This window comes from Homo sapiens, chromosome 10 (assembly GCF_000001405.40).
Source record: "Homo sapiens chromosome 10, GRCh38.p14 Primary Assembly".
Taxonomy (NCBI): domain Eukaryota; kingdom Metazoa; phylum Chordata; class Mammalia; order Primates; family Hominidae; genus Homo; species Homo sapiens.
In genome coordinates, this window is record NC_000010.11 from 97,115,175 (window position 1) to 97,136,473 (window position 21,299).

General features: G+C 49.9%; 1 protein-coding gene across 1 annotated transcript in view, besides 2 other annotated features; it reads right to left on the bottom strand.

Annotated features, from left to right (window-relative positions):
- SLIT1 (slit guidance ligand 1) overlaps window positions 1–21,299 on the bottom strand; it is a 187,922-nt gene that overhangs the window by 117,137 nt on the left and 49,486 nt on the right. The gene's annotated exons all lie outside the window — the stretch shown is intronic.
- Window positions 12,444–12,644: a silencer, noted in NCBI's record as "peak1061 fragment used in MPRA reporter construct". NCBI's record gives its function as "represses an SCP1 promoter by STARR-seq MPRAs in K562 erythroleukemia cells {active_cell/tissue: K562}" and the evidence as "EXISTENCE:reporter gene assay evidence [ECO:0000049][PMID:32103011]".
- Window positions 15,603–16,103: an enhancer, noted in NCBI's record as "H3K4me1 hESC enhancer chr10:98890534-98891034 (GRCh37/hg19 assembly coordinates)". NCBI's record gives its function as "activates a minimal SCP1, AML or CMV promoter by ChIP-STARR-seq in naive H9 embryonic stem cells {active_cell/tissue: H9 hESC(naive)}" and the evidence as "EXISTENCE:reporter gene assay evidence [ECO:0000049][PMID:30033119]".

A 21,299-nucleotide genomic window follows, 5' to 3' on the forward strand; every position in this document is an offset into this window, starting at 1 on the left:
CCTTCCTGGCTTCCCCGTAAGGTTGGTTTAGAGATTGCCCACCTGGGCTCTGCTTGACCTCGCCCAGGGCCAGAGAGCTCACTAATGCTTGAGGCTCAACATCCACTCCCAGCCTGCTATTCCTTGGAATTGCCCTGAGACCTTCCTGCTGGTACTTATCCTGCTTCTTCTGGAGAACAGAGAGTAAGCCCACTCATCCCCATGGCCCACATCCATGCTTTCAAATCCTCTCAGCAGCTCTGGAGACCTGAAACCTCTCCAGTTTCTTCACTGACCCCTCACAGGTCCGGGGGCCAATTCTGGGTGCCTGTAAGTTTGCAAATGTTCTCTGGAGATGAGAAGCCTGGAGCCAGGCACCACAGTCTGAGAAAGGTGTTCCCAGCAGCCCTCAGCTCCCTGATGGCTCTCACTGACCAGGTCTTCCAGGCCTGGAAGAGCCCTGGGCATCCTGACCCCTGAGTCCCTCCTATCTTTCTGTCACTGGGTCATTGCTGAGGGGAGGCTCAACAGCAACTGCAGCACTGGGCACCTGGGCATCCTGGGTCCTTCTCTAGAAATCCAGTCGCCACCTATGAGCCACCCGGCCTTCTCACTGTACTGTGAAAATGGTGTTTCTCTGCCCTTCCTTCTGAGGAGCCAAGGCTCAGAAAGGAAGCCTGTGTCAGATTCCAAGTCTTTTGAAAACAAAGAAAACATAGACTCCTCCCAGGAGGACTGGGGTACCAGGGATAAAGGGAACCTTCCCATAAGATCAAAGTGCTCTGTCCTTGATGGGCAGAGTATGAGAAGCAGGGGGCCGAGTTGACAGAGCACAGGCTCTGGAGTGAAACCTTCATCCAAGCCTTGGTTGTGCCAGTTCACCTGCTGTGTGACCTTGGGCAAGTTGCCTGACCTCTCTGAGCTTAATGTAAAAGTAGAATCAACAAAATACATTTCACGGGCTGTTGAAAGATGAGAATGAAATAATATATGGAGAGTCCTGGTGGCAGCCTGGGTCAGACAGGTACTGAATAAGTCTTCATTATGATGAGGAAGGAGGAAGAGGAGGAGGAGGCAGCAGTAGGAGAGGAGAAAGAGAAGGAAGAGAGAGAGAAATAATAATTCAAATAATTCATCCCCACCCCACTTCACCTCCTCCCTCCAGCTAGAGAAGACCATCTCCTGAGCTAGCCGAAGCCCACTGCAAGGATTCCAGGTTCTTCCTCCTTAGGGCCTGTCCGGAGCCCTGGGGTCAACACTGCTTTCCCAGCTTCCCCAGAGGAGGGAAGAGTGGAGGCTGCTGATGAGGAGCACCCCCTACCCACAGGTCTAGCCCGGCATCCTGGGCCTCCTCCCTGAGCTGCTGACCAGGAGCCCATCCTGTCTCCTCTATGCCTGGTGAGCAGTGGGGTTTCTGTCCCTGGTCCAGCTCATTTCAGGAGGCAGTGGGGCTGGGGGCTGGGCATCCTGCCCAATTAACACTCTCAAGAATGCCAGCGAAGCAGCTGCCATGCAGTCGGGCTCCCCAGGGAGAGGGGCCCAGGTGTTCCTGCCTCCTCTCTGGTGCAGGCTGGGGGTGGGAGAGCCTGTCACCAGGCCTGGTCCTCACCCCAGAGCATCTGGGCTTCCTCTGTAGGAGTGGGGAGCATCTGGCAGCCCACATCCCCTCCATCCCCAGCCCACCATGGAAACGAGAGGACGGATGGGCTCTGGAGCTCCAAAGACCTGGGATTCACTCCTGCCCACCCCCTCCTTCCACCCGTCAGCTTGTTACCTGTCTGTGAAATGACAACACACTCTGCTGCCCACTGTTGTGAGGTAACAGGAAAGCATATGGCTTGGAACTTGGTCCACAGTCAGTACCCAACACTGTTTTCTCTCCCTCCCTCCCCATCCCTAACTACAGTGGGTGGCAGAGACATGCCAATACCTTGCTTCATAGAGAGAGGAGAAAATGAAATCAGAAAAAAAAGCAATTTTTTCTCTGTGTTTCTACGAGCAGAGACTTAGAAAAACACTTGACATGAAGAGAAGTTCCAGGGACATGAGTTCTGACATCAAGGAGCCCAACCCTGAAAGATCTGAGAATAAAGCATGTGAAGTGGGTGTCCAAAGAGCAAAGCAGGTAAATTAAAAAAAATTACAGGGAGATGAAGGACTAAGAACAACGTCTATTAAATAATTATAAGGAAAGATAGCTTCCTGTCTCTAATAACTTATTTGCTTGGAAAATTTGCTCCAAACATACTCTCCATGTCGATATTTGCTTGATGTTTGCTTGCATTTAGCTAGCATAATAAAGGTGTTTGTCTTCATGTTAACAACTAAAAAAAGGAATATGACTATTCAAGGTTATAAATCCACAAGGGTGTGGATTTCCAGGAACAACCCTTGAGGCTCTATAGCATACTACTGCCACCTGGTGACAGTGTACCAGGGGTAAATTGGAAGGGTAGAATTTGAGAGTATATAAATAATCTCTTCGGTTGCTGAGTCTGAAAAAGTCCATGAGGCTTGGGCCATGCAAGTGACGCACATGCAAGTCACTCAGTTACCAGCAACTATTTTGAAAAATCAGTGAACTAAGATCCACTTCTGGCTCTCCCTGAGGACAACTCATTTCCGAGTTACAACCTGAGTTCCTTCTCTGTGAATGGAGGGGCCTAAAAGACCTCTGAAGTCACTGCCGGCTCTTATATTTGAATGTTCTGTAAATGTGTCTCAGAATGAAAGCTCAATGAATACATTTCAGAAACCCCAGGGGGATCTGTCAAAATGCAGAGTTCTGGTTCCAGCCTCAGATTCTCAATAAGAAGGTCAGGGGTAAGGCTCTGAAATCTACATTTTTTAATAAACAGCTTCCTCATTCTCTAGTGTTTGAGCATGGCTATTCCAAATCTTTGCATTTACTATTTAAGATTCTACTTTATTAAATTGAGACGTTCTGAGGTGTCTGGCCCCATCACAGTACGCTCACATTTCCTGAGGGCCTGAATATCACATAATACTCAGTGCAGCTTTACAAGGACTATATGGTATAAGAAGGTTTTAGGCCCATTTTGCTGATGGGGAAATTGAGACTCAAAAAGGTGACACGAGCAGCCCGAGGTCACAGGCTGCGTAAGCTGGAGCTGGGTTTGAACCCTCAGTTTTGGGATGCCCATGAACTTCCCAAAGAACTCAGGGCCTTCAGGACTTTGTCCTCCACTTCTTGGCGCAGCAGGACTTGGGGCACTGACCTAGCCATGGAGTTAGAGCCCACTCCCCACTTTTAAGGGCTTTCTGCAGGCTTCGGGCACACTCCAGACTCCAGCCCATGCATCTCTTGGCCTCCCTTGGCATCTTCTGTGCCACCCATCAAAGCGCTCCTCTATCTCCAAAATGGCCGTCGCAGGTTCTGACCTTCAATAGAAAAGGCGAAGGTATGACCAAACCTGTTCTCACCTCTTCTGCCCAGGAGAACACACATTATTAAGGGGGAAGGAAACATGGCTCATCTTTCCTGTAACTGCTGCTTCCACTTAAAAGACATACCGAATGATTCAAACCCAACTCTGTCACACACTAGCCACGTAACCTTGGGCAAGTTACTTAACCTCTCTGAACTATACATAATTTCCTCACCAGAAAAAATGGGGATAAAAGAATCCTCTCTTATAGGATTGCTGTGGGGATTAAATGAGACAGTACATATAAAATGTTAGCCATGACGACTGGGATATAGTAAGTGCCCAATAAATTATAGCTAAAAAACAAAAGGCATACACACACATGCACAACATATGGCTTGGAGAGAAACGGAAATACATCCCTGCTCTGACATGTCTGTTTCACTCAGGCATGCACAACGTGACCCCGAAGCTGGAAGTTTCCACGCAGCCCAGCAGCGATGGGCCATTCAGGCAGGCACTGCCTGGGGTCTCTTGTGTTCCCCTGGAGGGGCAGTGTTCTAGCTTGGGAAACGGGTGTCTGGCTAAAGTCAAAATTAGGAAGAATTCTCCGTCCTCACCACCCCTCTTACCTTCCTGTAAACCCATGGGAAACTCCTCAGGGAACCCCACCCTCACAGGAAGGTCAGGGGTCAACTCATCGCCATCCTATTGGCTGGCACAGAAATGGTGGGCAGATCCCCCTTCCCCGATCCTCCCAGGTGGGAAGTGGGTTTATTTCTCTTTTAATGGAAAGGGGCGGGGGAAGCTAGTGGGTCTGGCCAGCCTGGCTGCTGCCTCCGTGTTCTTCAATTACAGGGACAAAATGATTTGATGCAGGAACCAAGCAGACATCTGGGTTCCAGTTAGCATCTGACATGGGGCCTTGCTAATTAATCTGGAAACATGAATTCACAATGGCTCAAATCCGAGCGCAGTCAGGGAGAAAGCCAGCTGATGGGCCGTGAACAGAAGGTGGGTTGCGACGGGGCGGTGCGAGGAGGTCATCGGGAGGGTCTGGGAGGACTCAGGAGACGGCGCCTTGGGTTCACCCATCCTCCCTGGCTTTGCATCTGACCCCCAGAGACAGGCAGGAGGTGGCTCAGCAGCGGTGGGGAGGGTCCCGGTGGACGCCCACTCTGTGTTGGCAGCCAGCGAGGAAGACAAAGGGACTCAAACATTTCACCCCATCAGCTAGATCAGTCCCTTCGTTCTCACCTGGAGCAAATATGCCCAATGTTGGCAGATTGGCCCATCTTCCTGGGGCTTCCAATTCTTCCTCACTTAGTCTTGAAAGTTTAGGAGGAAATACATATTTTTTTTCCAAAGGGGTATATATATATATATATATATATATATATATATGTATATGTATATAGATTCAAAAGTACTTATCCATTTAACAAACATTTATCTGTCAGTTACCTTCTAGTTGAGCCTTTATTGGGCACCATCCATAGAGCTAAGAGTTTTACAACATTATGACATTTAATCCTTATGAATACCCAAAGAAGTTTTAGCTCCATTTTACAGTTTAGCAAAACAGGACTCAGAGAGGTTAAACTAGTTGCCTAGGACTGCACAGCTAGTAAGGTGCAGGGTCAGATTCAGCCCAGGGTTGGGCAAGAAGACAGTGTGCCAGGCCCGCTCCCCACAGCCACTTCCCTGTGACTGCTGAGCTCATCCCCAGCTGCCCAAATGAGACCCAAATGGCTTTGGGGCTCTGTGAGAAAGGAGGGGCCGCAAGTGAGCAGACCCCACCCTCCTTTCCAATGTCTGCTTTACATCTCCGGTGCCCTGTGAGATTTACTTGAATACACAGGACTGTTGTCTGAAAAGTGTGTGTCCTCCTGATTCAAATCCACTGCTCCCATTTCACAGTTAAAGAAACAAAACTCCGGGCAGGCTCAAGGACTTGTGTCGGGGTACTGGAGCCGAAACGCAGTTTCCTGACTCGCAATGCTGCTTCACACCGTGTGCACGGGCGGCTCTGAGCGGCGGCGCAGTCCTTCCTGGCTCCACATTTTCACAGGCTTTGCATCCTGCTGAGGGTGCAGGCTAAGTCACCCACCCTCTCTGTGCCTCCTCCTAGGATGTTGATGATGCTAAGCGGCCGACACCTCCGGAAGAGTTCAGCACAGTGCTTGGCACACAGCAAGTGCTCAGTAAATATTAGCTATTCTCATCACTTTGCCTCATTGCTCCATGGTAGTAAGACAAAGGCCCCTATCACCCACTGGACTCTGACTCTCTCTCCCTACCCTACGGGAGAAGCTGCCTGAAATGAGAGCCGATCCAAATAAAATGCTTACAATGGTTCCTGCCACATAGAAGGGTTCATTCAAGCTTGGCTAATATTGTCATGACTATTACTATATTACCTGGACCGCCTTCTCTCTCCCGGTTCTGTCCCACCAAAACTATTAGATGTCAAGACGGTCTCCCTGGCCTGGAAGTGCCAGCATCTCACACCTCTCTCCAGGCTGACAGTTGGCACTACTTTGCATTCTCTCCTTCTGTAGACCTATTCATTGCTCCCCAGTTTCCTTTGGCTTCTGAAAATTAATTATCAGTGATTTGTTAAGTTCATTAGCTCTGCCTCTCAACAGCATGGAAGGCCTGCCATCTGGACCCACATTTTCACTTTTATGCACATTGTTCCATAATTACACAATAAGTGGTGTCACCCTGAGAAGCCACGCTGAAGGCAGTCGGCTTACCCCCTCCCTTCTGCAGACTTGGGAAATCTCTCACCAGGACGAGCTGATCTGTCTACTCTGCTCTTAGAGCTGCCATCCCTTCAAACATGTGCAGAGCCCCACCAGCTTTCCCTTCTTAAACACAAATGCACCCCGACTATGCACCAGGGCCTGTGGAAGTGCCGTTCATACAGTCTCTTATTTAAGCCTTCAGTAATTCTGCGAGGTCACCATTATTAACCTATTTACAGATTAGGAAACTGAGGCTCAGAGAGATGAAGTAACTCACCCAAAATAATGCATCATGTCAAGTAGCGGAGCCAAGATCCGAACCCAAGTCCTAATCACACACCAGAAAACCCTCGGGCTAAGTGCAGCGTGATTCTGCAAGCCCACCCCTTGCCTTCTTGCTACATCCAATTTCCCTCCTGCCTTCCTCTGCAGGACCTCTCAGACGTGTAGTTCTTACCTTGGCTCCATTTCATCTGCCCATTCCTGCCTCATCAGCTATAGTCCCGCTCAACCCCATTGCTTTACCGATGCCACATTCTTGACAGGATGGACACATATGGCTTAACGGCAAGAACAAATTCTACTTATTGAGCACGCGCTACCTGATCATTGCTATAATATATTCCTGGATTATCTCATTTAATCCATAAAATCTTATCAGGCAAGTAACACAGGAATTAACAAACACATTTTACAGATGGGAGAACAAGGTGTAGAAAGATTGAGCCACTGCCCGCAGTCATCCAGTTAGTAAGTTACAGAACCTCGACTTGAAGCCAGACATTCTGACTCCAGTGTCTACTTCTCCAGCTCCCTCGTGAGGACAGAGCCAACTACATTTCTGAGAGGGAGGCTGCTACAGAGATAAGGATTCCAGCAACATGGAAGATGGGGTCTCCCATGTCTTGAGATGAGTACCAACAGGTTCCCACAACTCCATTGTAGGCAACTGAAACCCTGTTTTCAAGTAAACAATAATCAGAAGGGAAGATGATTCTTGCCTCATTCATTCAACAAACATTTACTGAATATCTAATAGATAGCAAGGGCCATGCTGGGTATTGCAGACACAGGGAACACAGATGTGCACCCCAGCTCTCCAAGGGAAACAGACTCCTGTTACGAAAAGGTGAAGCCACGGTGTCGAGAGCAGGTGGCAGAGGAACCCCATCCAGCCCACGAGGTGAGGAGGGAAGCCTTGCTGGGTAAGTGGTGTTTCAGCTGAGACCCGGAGGATGACAGACATGGCCTGGATGATGTGTATGTGAGTGTGTGTGAGTGTGTTACACAAGTGCATGTGCATCTGTCCAGGGAGGTACATACTCCGGGCCAAGAGAACAATGTGTACAAGCCCAGAGTGGAGTGTGAGGAAGGCACATCTGAGAGGAGCTCAGAGAGCATCAGGGCAGCCCTTGTATTCATTCAACAAATGTTTGCCAAATGCCAGTGATGCTTCCTGGGAGCTCCTTGTCCAGAAGCTGCTTGCCAGTGCCAGCAAACTAGATCTGGCTTAGAAAGTCCGTCCTAGAGCTGCTTCTTCTCTGAGTTCTTCAGACAGACTCCAAGTTTGTGCCTCACCTGCTCAGCAGCTCTATATTTCACCTGTCTATTTCACCTGTCTCTACCTTGAGGCTCATCCCCTCCAGCATCTCCAGGCCCCTCAACTTGTCCTCATCAACAGATGTCATTTATCCAGGAAGGAAAAGGGGCTAATGTTTGTGGAGGCCAGCCCTGCACAGGGGGCCTTCAAACACCCTTCAAAGAACCCAACCAATATCCCCAAAACAGAGATGCTATTACCATCCCCACTTTACAGATGAAGAAACTGAGGCTTAGGGAACTGCAGTGACAGTTGCCGCACGTCACAGATCTTGTCATGCTCTTCCCAAAGACGTGATCTTCTGAAGTCAATGCCCGGCCTTCCCTAAAGGGATTGCCAAAAAGTCACACATGTCAAGTAGCTTTTCCCTAAAAATCTGACACCTTTTATCAGCACGCCACAGTTTTGCAAAACAATAGATTCCTTCAAAATTCCTGTGGAATGTAAAATTGTAAGCCATCTAGCAAGAGAAGAAGTAGAGCAACCTCCCTTCATTTGGCAAATAATGCTATGCATGGGGAGACTGGGCCATTCCTTTCCTCCAGAATGTCTGAACCGTCCTCAAACAATTTCAGAACAAGCCCAATGCTAGGCAAATTTGGAGACAGGCAAATTTGGAGACAGTGGCTCAAGCCTGTAATCCCAGCACTTTGGGAGGCTGAGGCAGGTGGATCACTTGAGGTCAAGATCACTTTGAGACCAGCCTGGCCAACATGTCAAAACACCGTCTCTACTAAAAATACAAAAATTAGCTGGGCATGGTGGCAGGCGCCTGTAATCCCAGCTACTCGAGAGGCTGAGGCAGGAGAATCACTTGAACCTCGGAGGCGGAGGTTGCAGTGAGCTCAGATTGCATCACTGCACTCCAGCCTAGGCGACAGGGTGAGACTCTGTCTGAAAAAAAAAAAAAAAACTGGAGACAGAGTAGAAACATAGTGCAGTGACCCAGTCACAAGATTCAACAGCTGGCAACTGAAACACAAGAACAAGGGTCCACGGCAAAGCCACAAAGCCTCAGCTCTCAAGCAGAGGGACCAGCCATCACGTGGAGTAGGATGTGTTCCAAGGAGTCCTCAAATCCCTCCATCAGACAGTGTTGCCTGAATAAACAGTACTCTCTTCACATGTATGTAGGCTCAGGGGATGAGTGAAAAACAAACCCACTTAACAGCATTATGCAGCGGAAGCCTCGGGGGTGAGACCACACAGGAGTTCACTTTCTGCATGATACAGCTCTGGGATATTTGAATTTTATCATGAGTATGCATAACCTTATAAATTTTTAAACAATCTAAATATGAAAAATGGTAGGAAATTCAAGGTAGCTCTTGTCCCTGCACATTTTCTTAAATGACACATGCTCAAAATCCAACCAAAACCTGGCAGGGCAGGGGAGAGGAAGACTATGAAGCCTTTGGACATTCAAAAGTGTTCTTTAGCCCAGAGAAGGTTGGGCCCCAGGGAGGGGGGTCTGTCAGCTCCATGCTCCTCCTCAGCACGGTAGCTGCCCTCCCTCGAGCTTTGCTATTCCAAGGTTGAGGCCATTTCATGCCTTATCAATAATTCATGGGTACAAACAATAATGCCAGCTGGATCTCCTCTGCGGAGGCTGCAGGGTAAACCTCTAACCACCTAGGAGCAAATGTACACTGGGGTGCGCACCCGGCTTCCCAGGGGGAGACAAGACTTAGAAGCACTTTAAGAATCAATTCCAGCCTGAGAGGGCTGAGCTTTGCAGACAGTCTTGAAGGTACCCCCATGTTCCACTCAGGGCCAATGGGACCCTTGGGAATACACAGAATGGGGTCCCTTCCCCACCCAGGAGCACTAGGTATACCTAGTCCAGCCCTTGGACAGAGAAGCAGCATGGACATTAGAAGAATCACTAAACCAGGAGAGGGAAAATTAGGTTCTAGTCTCAGCTCTGCCACTTACCCGCTGTGCGACCCAACGTACGTTGCTTAACCTTTCTGAGCTTCAGTGTACTCTTAATAAAATGAAGATGGAATAGAGAAATAGGCAAAGGATTCAAACAGGTAGTTTAACAGAAAAGGAACACAAATGGCCTTAAAAGCATTAAAATGGGATGCTTAACCACACTCATAATTAAATAAATACAAGTTAAAACAAGATGTATTTCAGCCCATCAAACTGGCAAAGTGAAAAATGTCAAGAATGTTCAATACTGGAGGTGTGGAGAAACAGAGCTTCTTGTATACTGTGAAGATGGAACAGCTTTTCTAAACAGCAACTAGGCAATAGGCATCATAATGTAAAATGCATCTTTTCTTTGACTTACCACCTCCATTTCTAGGAGTGGGTCCTACTGATCTTGCCATATGAGAACACAGAGTCAGACAAACAAGGACGTTTCCTTGTAACAATGTTTATAAGACTGAAAACAATGTAATGTCCCTCCATGAAATACACATAATAAGACTGTGTGAGCCTGGGCAACATGGCAGAAATCCTGTCTGTACAAAAAATACAAAAATTAGCCAGGCCTGGTGGTGCACGCCTGTGGTACCCTACTCAGGAGGCTGAGATGGGAGAATCGCTTGAGCTCAGGAGGAGGAGGTTACAGTGAGCCAAGATCACACCACTGCACTCCAGCCTGGGTGACAAAGCGAGACCCTGTGTCAAAAAAAAAAAAAAAAAAAAGTAGGCCGGGCGCAGTGGCTCATGCCTGTAATCCCAGCACTTTGGGAGGCTGAGGCGGGCGGATCACCTGAGGTCAGGAGTTAGAGACCAGCCTGGCCAACATAGCGAAACCCTGTCTCTACTGAAAATACAAAAATTAGATGGGCTTGGTGGTGCATGCCTGTAATCCCAGCTACTCGGGAGGCTGAGGAAGGAGAATCATTTGAAACCAGGAGGCAGAGGTTTCGGTGAGCTGAGATCGCACCACTGAGCTCCAGCCTGGGCGACAGAGTGAGACTGTCTCAAAACAAAAACAAAAAAAAACAAAAAAAACAAGAGTCTGAGTCTGTGGTGCTAAGAACAGGAACACCAGCTGTATATGTGCTGATATACAGTGGTCTCTTAGCTCTACAGGAGGAAAATAAACAGGTAAGCTCCCATTCTGAAGAAAGAGAGAGAGAATATCTGTGTTTTCATATGCAGAGAACATTTCAGGAAGCCTCCACATGAAGCTATTTTAGTAGCTGTCTCTGGGAAGGGGACGTCGAGATCTGGAATAGGACAGAGACTTATTTTCATTTTATATGTCTCCGTCTTATTTAATTTTTTAAACTAGGTATTAGATTTTTAATAACTTTCCGATGTGAAGGTTCTGTTTCGCTTACACAGAAAGCACCTTGGTTGTGTGAACATTTGATGTAGCTGATATGAGAGAGGGCTATAAACTGTAACAGACGTGAACGTGCACATGGGACACGTGGGACATGGGTGTCTCTTAGAGACGAAGACCCCACGGGGTGAACAATGAATCGGATGCAGCGCCCACTGCTTTTTAGAGTAACACACCACATTCATCCCCAGAGGAGTTTCAGGAGCCACCAAAAGTGGCAGAGTCCAAAATGGCCTTTTCCTGAGAGGTTCAGGATGGTGGAGATGAGGCTTTTAAAGACTCATCACCACCTTGCTTCCCAGGAACCAGACTTCTTCACTGATACATTTTACCTGATGAACCAACTTCAAGACCAGAGACTGGCTCTCAAAGAGCAGGTCTGAGGGATGCACAAGGGTTTTCTTGTTGACTGACAGATTCCAACACCAGCCCATAAGCTCCACCTTACAGCTGGGGCAGGAGGCATTCCCCAACCTCACTGATGCCTAGCTGGGCACTCAGCAAACATTTGTGGAATACATGAATGAGTGGCTGGTCTCGGGCAGGTCCTGAGAGCTCACAGGCTGTTAGATCTGGAAGAACTTTCCAGAGGAAGCCCCTCAGTCCCATGTATGGGTGTGACTTGCTCAAGACTCACAGCAACAAGAGACAGAGCCAAGGCTCAAGCCAAGACCTGTGACCCTCGCCTGGCACTTCCTGCCCTTCTCATCTCCCTGAGCATGCACAGAATTCACCTTTTTCCAGATACAACATACGGCCAAACACTCCTCCCATCTACGCCATTCTCAGGCTTTAAAGGTTTTGAAGGCTGGGCACGGTGGCTCATGCCTGTAATCCCAGCACTTTGGGAGGCTGAGGCGGGTGGATCACAAGGGCAGGAGATCGAGACCATCCTGGCTAACATGGTGAAACCCCGTCTCTACTAAAAAAAAAACAAAAAAAATTAGCCGGGCATGGTGGCGGGCGCCTGTAATCCCAGCTACTGAGGCAGGAGAATGGCGTGAACCTGGGAGGCAGAGTTTGCAGTGAGCCGAGATCACGCCATTGCACTCCAGCCTGGGCGACAGAGCGAGACTCCGTCTCAAAAAAAAAAAAAAGGTTTTGAAGTTGGTTTCCAGTCTGACATTTCTGTAAAGTATCCAAACCAATCAGACTCATCAGCCAAGCCTTATAGCTTAAAAGAGAAAAGGGCTCTTCCAGCCCTATGCTGTCCGTTAAGTTAGGACAATGTCTATGCAGTACCTACCAGATGCAAGGAAGACACAGCTCACTCCCTCCTTAGGAAATGAACTCAGGATCTCTCCTGAACAGTGCCGGGTCACTCAAGATGTGCAGAAGCAGCCTGACTAGCAAGGACCTCATCAGGAACCACGTCCTCTGGGCACAGAGATGAGCCAAACAGCCTCCAAGACCTCACCTCTATGTGTGCAAGTTCCACTCTACGAAGAAACACTCACTAGAGCTTCAGGGATCATGCGTAGTCACATGGTGGCTTCAGCACCAACCAGTGTGCAGGGAGGACTCCAGCAAAGTAAGAAAGCACAGCGGAGAAACCAGCAGCCTTGGGGCGGCTCCCAGCTCTGCTCCCACCCAGCTATGACTCCAGGGAACTCCTGCCACCTCTTCGGGCCTCACTGTCCTCATCTGCAAAGACAGGATGTGAATTAGAACCTCTCTCAGGTTCTTTCCAGTTCATATATGATTAAAGCAATGATTCTTTGGGGAGGAGAGGTAGAAAACCCAGAGGCAAAGCTTTTTCATGAATTGACAAGCAGCCACTCAGAACAGACCCAGCTCCCACACTGGCCTCCAAGAAGCCCCTGGGAACCCACCATGCAGGGTCAGGGAACAAATGCACCACCGAGCCCCCTGCTCTCGGGCCTTGCATTGACGCCTTCTTCCCGCCCTTCCTCGGCCCCTCTGCCTCTTGTAAGTGAGGCTGGCCTCAGCCCTGGCCCTCTTCTCCCCTCCTCCATCCACGCTGCTTCCTCTCACCAGAACTCTACAGTCCCAGGGCCCTGTCCCTCCCCTTCCCTGCAAGCCTGAGCCAGGGAGTCCCAGGGGGCTCTTCATCACATTTGAGACACAAACCTTTTGAACAAATGTGGGTAATCATAAAGATGGGCCCAGCAGGACAAGCAGGAGTGTTCATCTGTCTCCTGGCACGATGCCCCCACCGTGGCTAGAAGCGCACGTGTGCATGCTCACACTCTCCCCAAATCCCACTCCTCTTCAGCAAAGAGCTGTGAACGTCCACCAGGAGACACCCCACCAGCTCACTCCCACAAAGTTAACTTCCCAGAATGGGTCTTCCCCACCTCCCTCGGGCTCTGGGAGCAGGAGTTTAACAGGCCCCTCCTGCCCTGATGCCCACAACCTGCATTGTGTGTGCAGGATCCACAGAAAGTATTGCAGCAAAGAAAGGCATGCCTGGAGCCCAGAACCCAAAGCCTGGGCTGGCAGTGGTTGCTAAGAGACAGAGGATGCCCAGCTGGAATCGTGACTGAGGTTTCTTGTTTGTGCAAGAGCAAGATGAAGAGGAAAGGAGAGGATGTGTTTGCTGTGATGAATTCCGGCCTCCACCAGATCCTGCCGGAGGGAGAAAAGATCTCACTTAGGATCATACTCAATGATGTTCAGGCCCTCCAGCCTTCCGGCCGCAGAACAAGCAATAAGCCCCATTCCTTCCGTGTTCCTTAAATATCTGCCCTGGAAAACTAAGACAAAAAAAAATCTTAGGAAAGAAAAGTTAGCTATTTTATTTTGTAAAGTGCAGTGTGGTAGAGGAGCAAATCCAAAGTGAGGCTCGGACTGAATCCATTCAGTCCCAGCTTCTCTGCTTCCTGCTCTGTGTCCCTGGGGAAATTGCACAACCTCCCTGTGCCTCAGTTTTCACTTACGTTAAAGAAGCTAATATGGCCGGGTGCGGTGGCTCACGTCTGTTATCCCAACACTTTGGGAGACCTAGGTGGGCGGATCACGTGAGGTCAGGAGTTCGAGACCAGCCTGAGCAACATAGCGAAACCCCGTCTCTACTAAAAATACAAAAATTAGTCGGGTGTGGTGATGTGTGCCTGTAATCCCAGCTACTTGGGAGGCTGAGGCAAGAGAATCACTTGAACCTCTGGGGCAGAGGTTGCAGTGAGCTGAGGTCATGCCACTGACAGCAGGACTGTGTCTCAAAAAAAAAAAAAAAAGAAGCTAATATAAGTTCCTCATAGTGTGTTGTGAGGATTAAGTTCAGTAACCCATGTAAAGTACCCATCACAGTGCCTGATCTCAGTTAGGACCCACAAATGTTCACTGTTACTAGACGTGGACTGTTGCAGCTAGAGCATCTAGCGCAACTCCTTATTCTAAGATGAGGAATCGAAACTGCAGAATGGCCTGAACCAGGGGAGAGAGGGTCATTTCCATGCTGCTCCGCCATACCTTCCCTCCCCTGCCCTGGGAGGACCCGTGGCCCATCTCACCAGCCTTCCAAGCGGGCATCCTCGACTAGTACTCCACAGCCCCAGCTCTGCTGTCTTCACTCCCTCATCCTGCCCACAGGTCCTGAGCACCTCACCATCGGGTACCGGGCATGGAGTGAAAACAATGTGGACACAGCCCTGTTCCCCCAACCCCACCCACGTTTGCTGCTGATGGAGCCTTCACAGCCAACACACACTCAGCCCCCTTCCTGCCCCCAGCCAGACGCTCTCTCAAGAACAAGGCGGTCCCTCTCCACAAAACCCACAACTACTCACCCGGTTCTCAGGCCCTGGCATTGCTCCTAGATCTCAAAGTGGGTGAAGGCAAAGAGAAGAGGGAAAACAGAAGGAAACGACCTCTTCTGGCAGGGCAGCCTCTCCGCCGCCAGGAACAGGAGCCAAGTTCAGGGAAAGGGGAGGTTTGGGACAGCACCCTGAGTGGGCTGATGAACAAAATTTCTAAATCCTAAATCAAGCATGTGCTCAGATACAGGGATTTACTGGTATTAAAAAGTCTAGCTGGTATGGTGATTTCTCAAAAATTAAACATAGAATCACCACATGATCCAGCAATTCCACTTCTGGGTACATACCGAAGAGGAATGTACAGGGACTCAAACAGATACTTGTACGCCTTCATTCATGGAAGTATTATTCACAACAGCCAAAAGGTGGAAGCAGCCTCAGTGTTCATCCACGGATAAATGGATAACAAACGTGGTATTTAATGTGGAATATTATTCAGCCTTAAAAAGGAAGGACATTCTGACATATGCCACAATGTGGATGAAACTTGATGACATTATGCCTCGTGAAATAAGCCAGTCGCAAAAGGACAAATATTGTATGATCTCACTTATCCAAGGTACCCAGCACGGTCAAATTCACGGAAACAGAAAGTAGAATGGTGATTGCCAGGGGCTGGACTCTGGAGCCTGACTGCCTAGGTTCAAGTCCTGGCTCTTCTTCTTTCTAAGTGTGTGATACTGAGCAAGTTACTTAACCTCTCTGTGCCTCAGTTTCCCCATCTGTAAAATAAGGATAGCTGCACTTATACTTCGTAGGGCTACTGGGAGGATTAAATGAGCTAATATGTGTTAAGCATTTAGAACATCACGAGGCGCATAAAAACACCACACCAGCACCGCTATTGTTTTTGATGGGGGAGGGGGTTGCCATTCGGTCCATGGTCTGAATGTCTGCGAACATGTCTGTCCTCCTTTCTTCTTCCCTAGATTTTCTCAGGGAACATGCTCTGTGATCTGGACCCCTAAAGAGTCCACGGTTCCCTGAGTGGGCAGGACCTCGGCCACATGGACATTCTCAATCTTGGTCATGAAACTGTGGTGGCCAGGACATAGAACAGAGCCTGTGGGGCCCAAGCACACCCTGCCAGGTGAGACCGACAGCATGGAGCAGGCCGAGCAAGGGCATTGTGGACAGTGTGATCCCGCCCTTCCCTGTCAGTCGGCACCAAAGGAGGGCACTTCCTTCTGCCCTAAAGAGCCACACAGGCCAGAAACAGCCTTCCCCTTCCTGCACAGCTGTCCATCCAGGGCCCATGGGACGCCTCTAATGCCCTTTAAAATTCTGCCGGCATCTCTCACCACACACACTGTCATCAAAAACAGGCCCATTGAAGCAGCTAATTCAAACAAATTCGCCTGGGCGCTGACAGCCTCTGGTGGATGTGAAGCCACAAATAAGGCCTTTCTTCAGGCTGCGCCCACCCAGCCCTGGACCAAGGGTGGGGAGTGACCAGGAGTACTACAGGCACACAGGCCCATGCCTCTGCCAGCCATGCTGGGTATGGCCAACAACACACTCACCGCATTCACAAGCACGTATTGACACCCCGCTACCAGCCAGGCCCTAGAGACCCCTGTGAACAGCAGATGTGAGTTCCACCCTCTGGAGGCTGTGAGGTTTCCCAAATGGCTCCACCACCTTAAAGGCAGAGGACCGGAGCCCAGCTGCCCCAAGCACAGAACTTCCTGAAGGTCTCTTGTTTTATCTTAAATGTTCTAGCCAATTCTGCATTTTACTACTTAATGCCCCATTTGTTTTCCGGTAGTCATGATAATAACAGCCACAAACATAAACTGAGACATGCCAAGTTTCAGGCACCGTGCGGAGCTCTTTGTGTGTATCACTGCATTTGCTAAACCCAGCCTATGCGTGGGGACTAAGTATCCGCATGCTGCCAATGAGAACACTAAAGCAGAAAGAGGTTAGGCAACGTGCCCATGTGGCAGAGCTGGGCTTGGAACCCAGCCCGGCCCCCAAGTCCACTCCTTTAACAGCTGTATAAGTGAAATATGTAGAACTGTTTTTAATCAGCTAACTGTCCATCCCCCAAATGTTTAAAGTAGAAATGAAGCTCCGGGACGATGCCCCATTGAAGCCCTGTGGCTGCATGCCCCAGGCTCACTGCCCTGGACCCCTGGGGTGTCCAAACTCCTGCAGAACCCTGCCTTCAAGGTTCAGGTTCTAGGCACTGCAAACTGAGGTGCCCCTCTGCCAGCCACAGCCTCCTCCTTTGTCTTCCCAGACCCTGGCCCCTGCAGGCTTCAGTCTGGCCCCTCTGCAGGCTCAGGTAACCCAGGGTCCCAGACAAAGCCAACTTGAGGTTCCCCTTCAATCTCAGTCTCTCCCCTCCCCACCAGGTGACAGATTTTAGGATTGCAGCACTCATTCTTTCCCACGGTGACCCTTCCCAGCTCCGATGTCTGAGAGTCCTCTTGGTTCCCTGAGCCTCAAACCACCTTCAGAACTGCCCCCATGCAACAGGTGCCTGTCCACAGTCCAATGGCCAAGACCTGGTACCCAAGTTGTCCAGCTGATTGCCACCTTGGCTCCCATCCCAGGTTGCCAACCCAGTCATCAGCCCATTGCCACCACCCTCTTCTGAGCCCTGGGCCCTGTCCCTAAACTCTGACAGAATCTAAAATGCCAAGGGCCCCAGCATTTCCAGGGGTCAGCCACCCCCATTTTTCATTGTGTATTCCCCCACCTTTGGAGGGTCCAGTTACTACTAGGCGCCCTGCACATGTGCCAGGACGCTGGAGTTTCCTGTGCCTCTGAGATATTATACCTTGTAGACCTGCCTCAATCTCCAGGGCCGGTGGGGCCAGCACTCCTGGCTCCTAACCCATCCCCTTCCCTGCCTGGATGGAGGCCTTCTTCACAAGAGGGAGCACAGCTACAGCCTACATTGTCAGGCAGAAGGGAACAGCCAAAGATGAACATCTTTGGAGGGCATGAAATGGATCACTGGCGGCCCCACGTCCAAGGCAGGCCCTCCTGAGGTTTAGATGAAAACAGTCACCAGCTAACGTCCCCCAGTCATAAAGTAAATTCAGGTGAGCCTGGAAATTGGGAAGTTGCATGCTCATGGCAGCTTTATCACAAGAGCCAGAGAGTGGGAGCCACCCCAGCGTCCATCCACAGTTGAATGGATGAACAAAATGTGTACAGACAATGGAATATTATTCAGCTTAAAAAAAAAGGAAATCCTGACACATGCTACAACAGGGATGAGCCTTGAGGACATTACGCTAAGTGAAATAAGCCAGTCATAAAAAGATACACACTGGGCCAGGCGCGGTGGCTCACACCTATAATCCCAGCCTTTGGGAGGCCAAGGTGGGAAGATGGCTTGAGCCCAGGAGTGTGAAACCAGCCTGGGCAACATAGGGAGACCCCATCTCTAATATTTTTTAAAGAATTTCTTTTTAAGACAAACACTGGATGATTCCACTTCTATGAGGTACCTGGAGCTGTCAAATTTATAGAGACAGAAAGTAGAATGGTGGCTGCCAGGGACTGGCAGGTGGGGCAATGGGAGTTGTCATTTAATGGCAATAGAGTTTCAGTTTTATGAAGTCAAAATGTTCTGGAGATCGGGTCCACAACGATGCGAACTTAACATTACTGAACAGTACACTGAAAAATCATTATGATGGTAAATTTTATGTTATGTGTATTTCACCACAATTTAAATTTTTTTAATAAAATAAAAGTGAAACGAGGACTATTTTGCAAGTAGATTACATATAATGACATATCATCCATCTCCTTCTATTTGCTTGGAATCACATTCATGAGAAGCTGTGCTGAAGGGTTTGGGGAGGGAAGGATCTGGATGTTTCATAGGCCTGCTAAAAACTCACTCCAGCACCACCCCCAGGTCCTGTATCCCCTGGCTCACCGTCTTGTCCCCTGGGTCACTCTGATTTGCCATCATTTCTGGACAGCCGTATACCCTTGCTATTGGATTTGGATTGTTTCTTTGCTATGACTGTGCTGCTGGGCTATCTAGCAGACACCCCACTAAAGGTGCTGTGTGTTTCCTAGGGCGCTATCAGGCCTGAGGGCTGGTGAGCCCCCACCTCCCAGCGGGCAGCCCTGAACCTCGGTCAGATTCCTTGCAGGTCTTCTGCCATCTCAAGAGGCTGGGGCGGCCTCACTTCCTCTCCCCAAAGAGGTGTGTTTGCTCTGCTCTGGGTGGGAGATCATTAGCTCACCCCATCCTGTGCCACCCACCTCCTCCCACAGCCTTTGTGTCCCCACAGTCACAGCCACAGTTGCGTGACAAATGACTGAGGAGGTCTTGGGGACGCCATCTCATTCTACAGGCGTTATTGTGCCTGACCTAAACCCAAATACCCAGGCCCCAGTCTCCCGGGTGACACCTGAAGGCCGCGGTTTCCTGGCAACCAGGAACAATGGCCCCTGGGAAAAGCACACACAGTTTGGGAAAGGGCGGCCTGTTCTCTCTGCGCCCCTGGGTAGGAGCAGACCACTTATGCCGGCCGAGTCTCCATTCAAGCCTGAGGGTGGGGGCCTCAGAGCCCACCTGCCCACCCTAAGCCCGAGCTGCAGATCTCTCCCACCTGGGTGCTGTGAGCGCCTCTTCATAGGACAAAATTCTCTCTGAGCCCATCCCTGGCTCTCCTCTCCCTCAGCAGGCATCCCTCCACGCCAGGCCCAAGTCTGGATTTCATTCCCCCAGAGCTGATTCAAGGTGTTCAGACTTCCGTTTGGGGGACTTCCATTGTCACCTTTTGCCTGTGGAAGTGACATTCTCTTCCCCTTTGATTTTTTGGGGCCAGCATTACAGTTTGATCACGTGGTTCTAGAGGAGAGATGAGGACGCGGGCTTTGCCATCAGGCAGGCCCTTGGATGAACCTCCCTCCCAGCTACTAACCCACTCACTGTGCAACCTGGGCAAGTCACCAAATGAGGGGTCTCCTCTCCTGCAGCTCACATTGACTCACATCCCCAACAGGACCCACCAGCTCTGAAAAGCAGAGACCACAGCCTTTTTTCTCACCATGATACCCCCAGAGACCAGAATGAGGCAGAAACAGAAATATTTGTTGAGTGTGTTACAAATGAAAAAGTAAATATCTGACGTAGGAAAAGCCAGAGGCCTACGGGCCCAGCCTGGGGAAAGCCCCGTGCCTGCAGAGTCGAAGGCACGGGCTTCACGAACGGGACCCAGCAGGCACAGCCAAGCAGGCTGGGGAGCCAGTGGTGCATGCTCCCTTCCCCATCGCCTGACCACGTGCCTGCGTCTTCATCTGTCCATAACAGTTCGGCCATTTAACATGGTTCTAAAATACTTAGGCTCGGTGTCCACTCACTGCGCAACTCCATCAGCGTCGCACTGAAAGAGGAGGGAAGGGACATGCAGTTCTACCCTCCTCCCTAGAATGGAGGCCCCTTCAAGAGAACACAGACTTGAAGAGCCAGGGCAACAGAACAGTATTCCTTTGGGAGGTAGAAAGCAACAAGCAGAAATCCACAAAAACCTGGAATCACAAGGGGAAGTGGGGCAAGCTCAGCGTCCTGGGAACTGGAGGCCGAGCAATAGTGAGGAAGCCGGGGTGGAAGCAGCTTCCCGCTGGGCCGCCTGAGGCCTGGAGAGGTAACCCCAGGGGGCTGCAGTGAGTACCCACAGCTCAGGCGCTCCCCAGCCCTCAGGGCACTCTGACTGGATGCTGTACTTGGGTCTCTCCCCAGCGGGGCTGCTCAGTCAAGTGGAGGAGGGGCTGCAGAAGGGGATGTAAACAGCCACGGATGGTCCCGTTTCCGAAAAGGACAATGACAGAGACCAGGTCGGGGAGTGGGTCCCCTGTTAAAACCACTTCTCTTGGGCATAGGAGGAGATCATTCTATTTTACCTGCTCCATAGAAAAATGCCCAGGAGCTGACACACTGTGCCCTGGGGAGGGATAAGGAAGGGGTGGTGGTTGGAAAGGCACCTGGGACCCCTGGGTGGGCTCCTGCATTCCGGGGTCCTTGGGGTGATGATGGAATTTAACATTAGGATGGGGCCCTCGGGCTGACTAACTTGAGATGTCAGCATCTGCATTTGGCATTGGTGATAAATAAAGAATGGCAACACACTCATAAAACCATATTCTAAAGTCACTATAAGTCCTTATAGAATGTACAGTACCAAGAGTGAACGCTTGTGTCAACTCTGGCCTTGGGTGATGCTGTGTCACCTTGTCCCCTCATCCACTGTAATAGGTGCACCACTCTGCTGGGGGAGGCTGTACCCGTGGGAGGGCAGGGGGTGTTTGGGGAATCTCCGTACCTTCCGTTTGGTGTTGCTGTGAACCTAAAACTGTTCTTTAAAAATAAAGTTATTTTTTTAAGTGGCTTTACCATGAAGTTAAGGAAACTTATATTTCAAGGCCACTCACTTGCATTGGCCTCTTCTACAGTGTGAGTAGGTCACCAACAATGTGTCCATATGCTATTATAATTTTGTAAATTGTGTCATA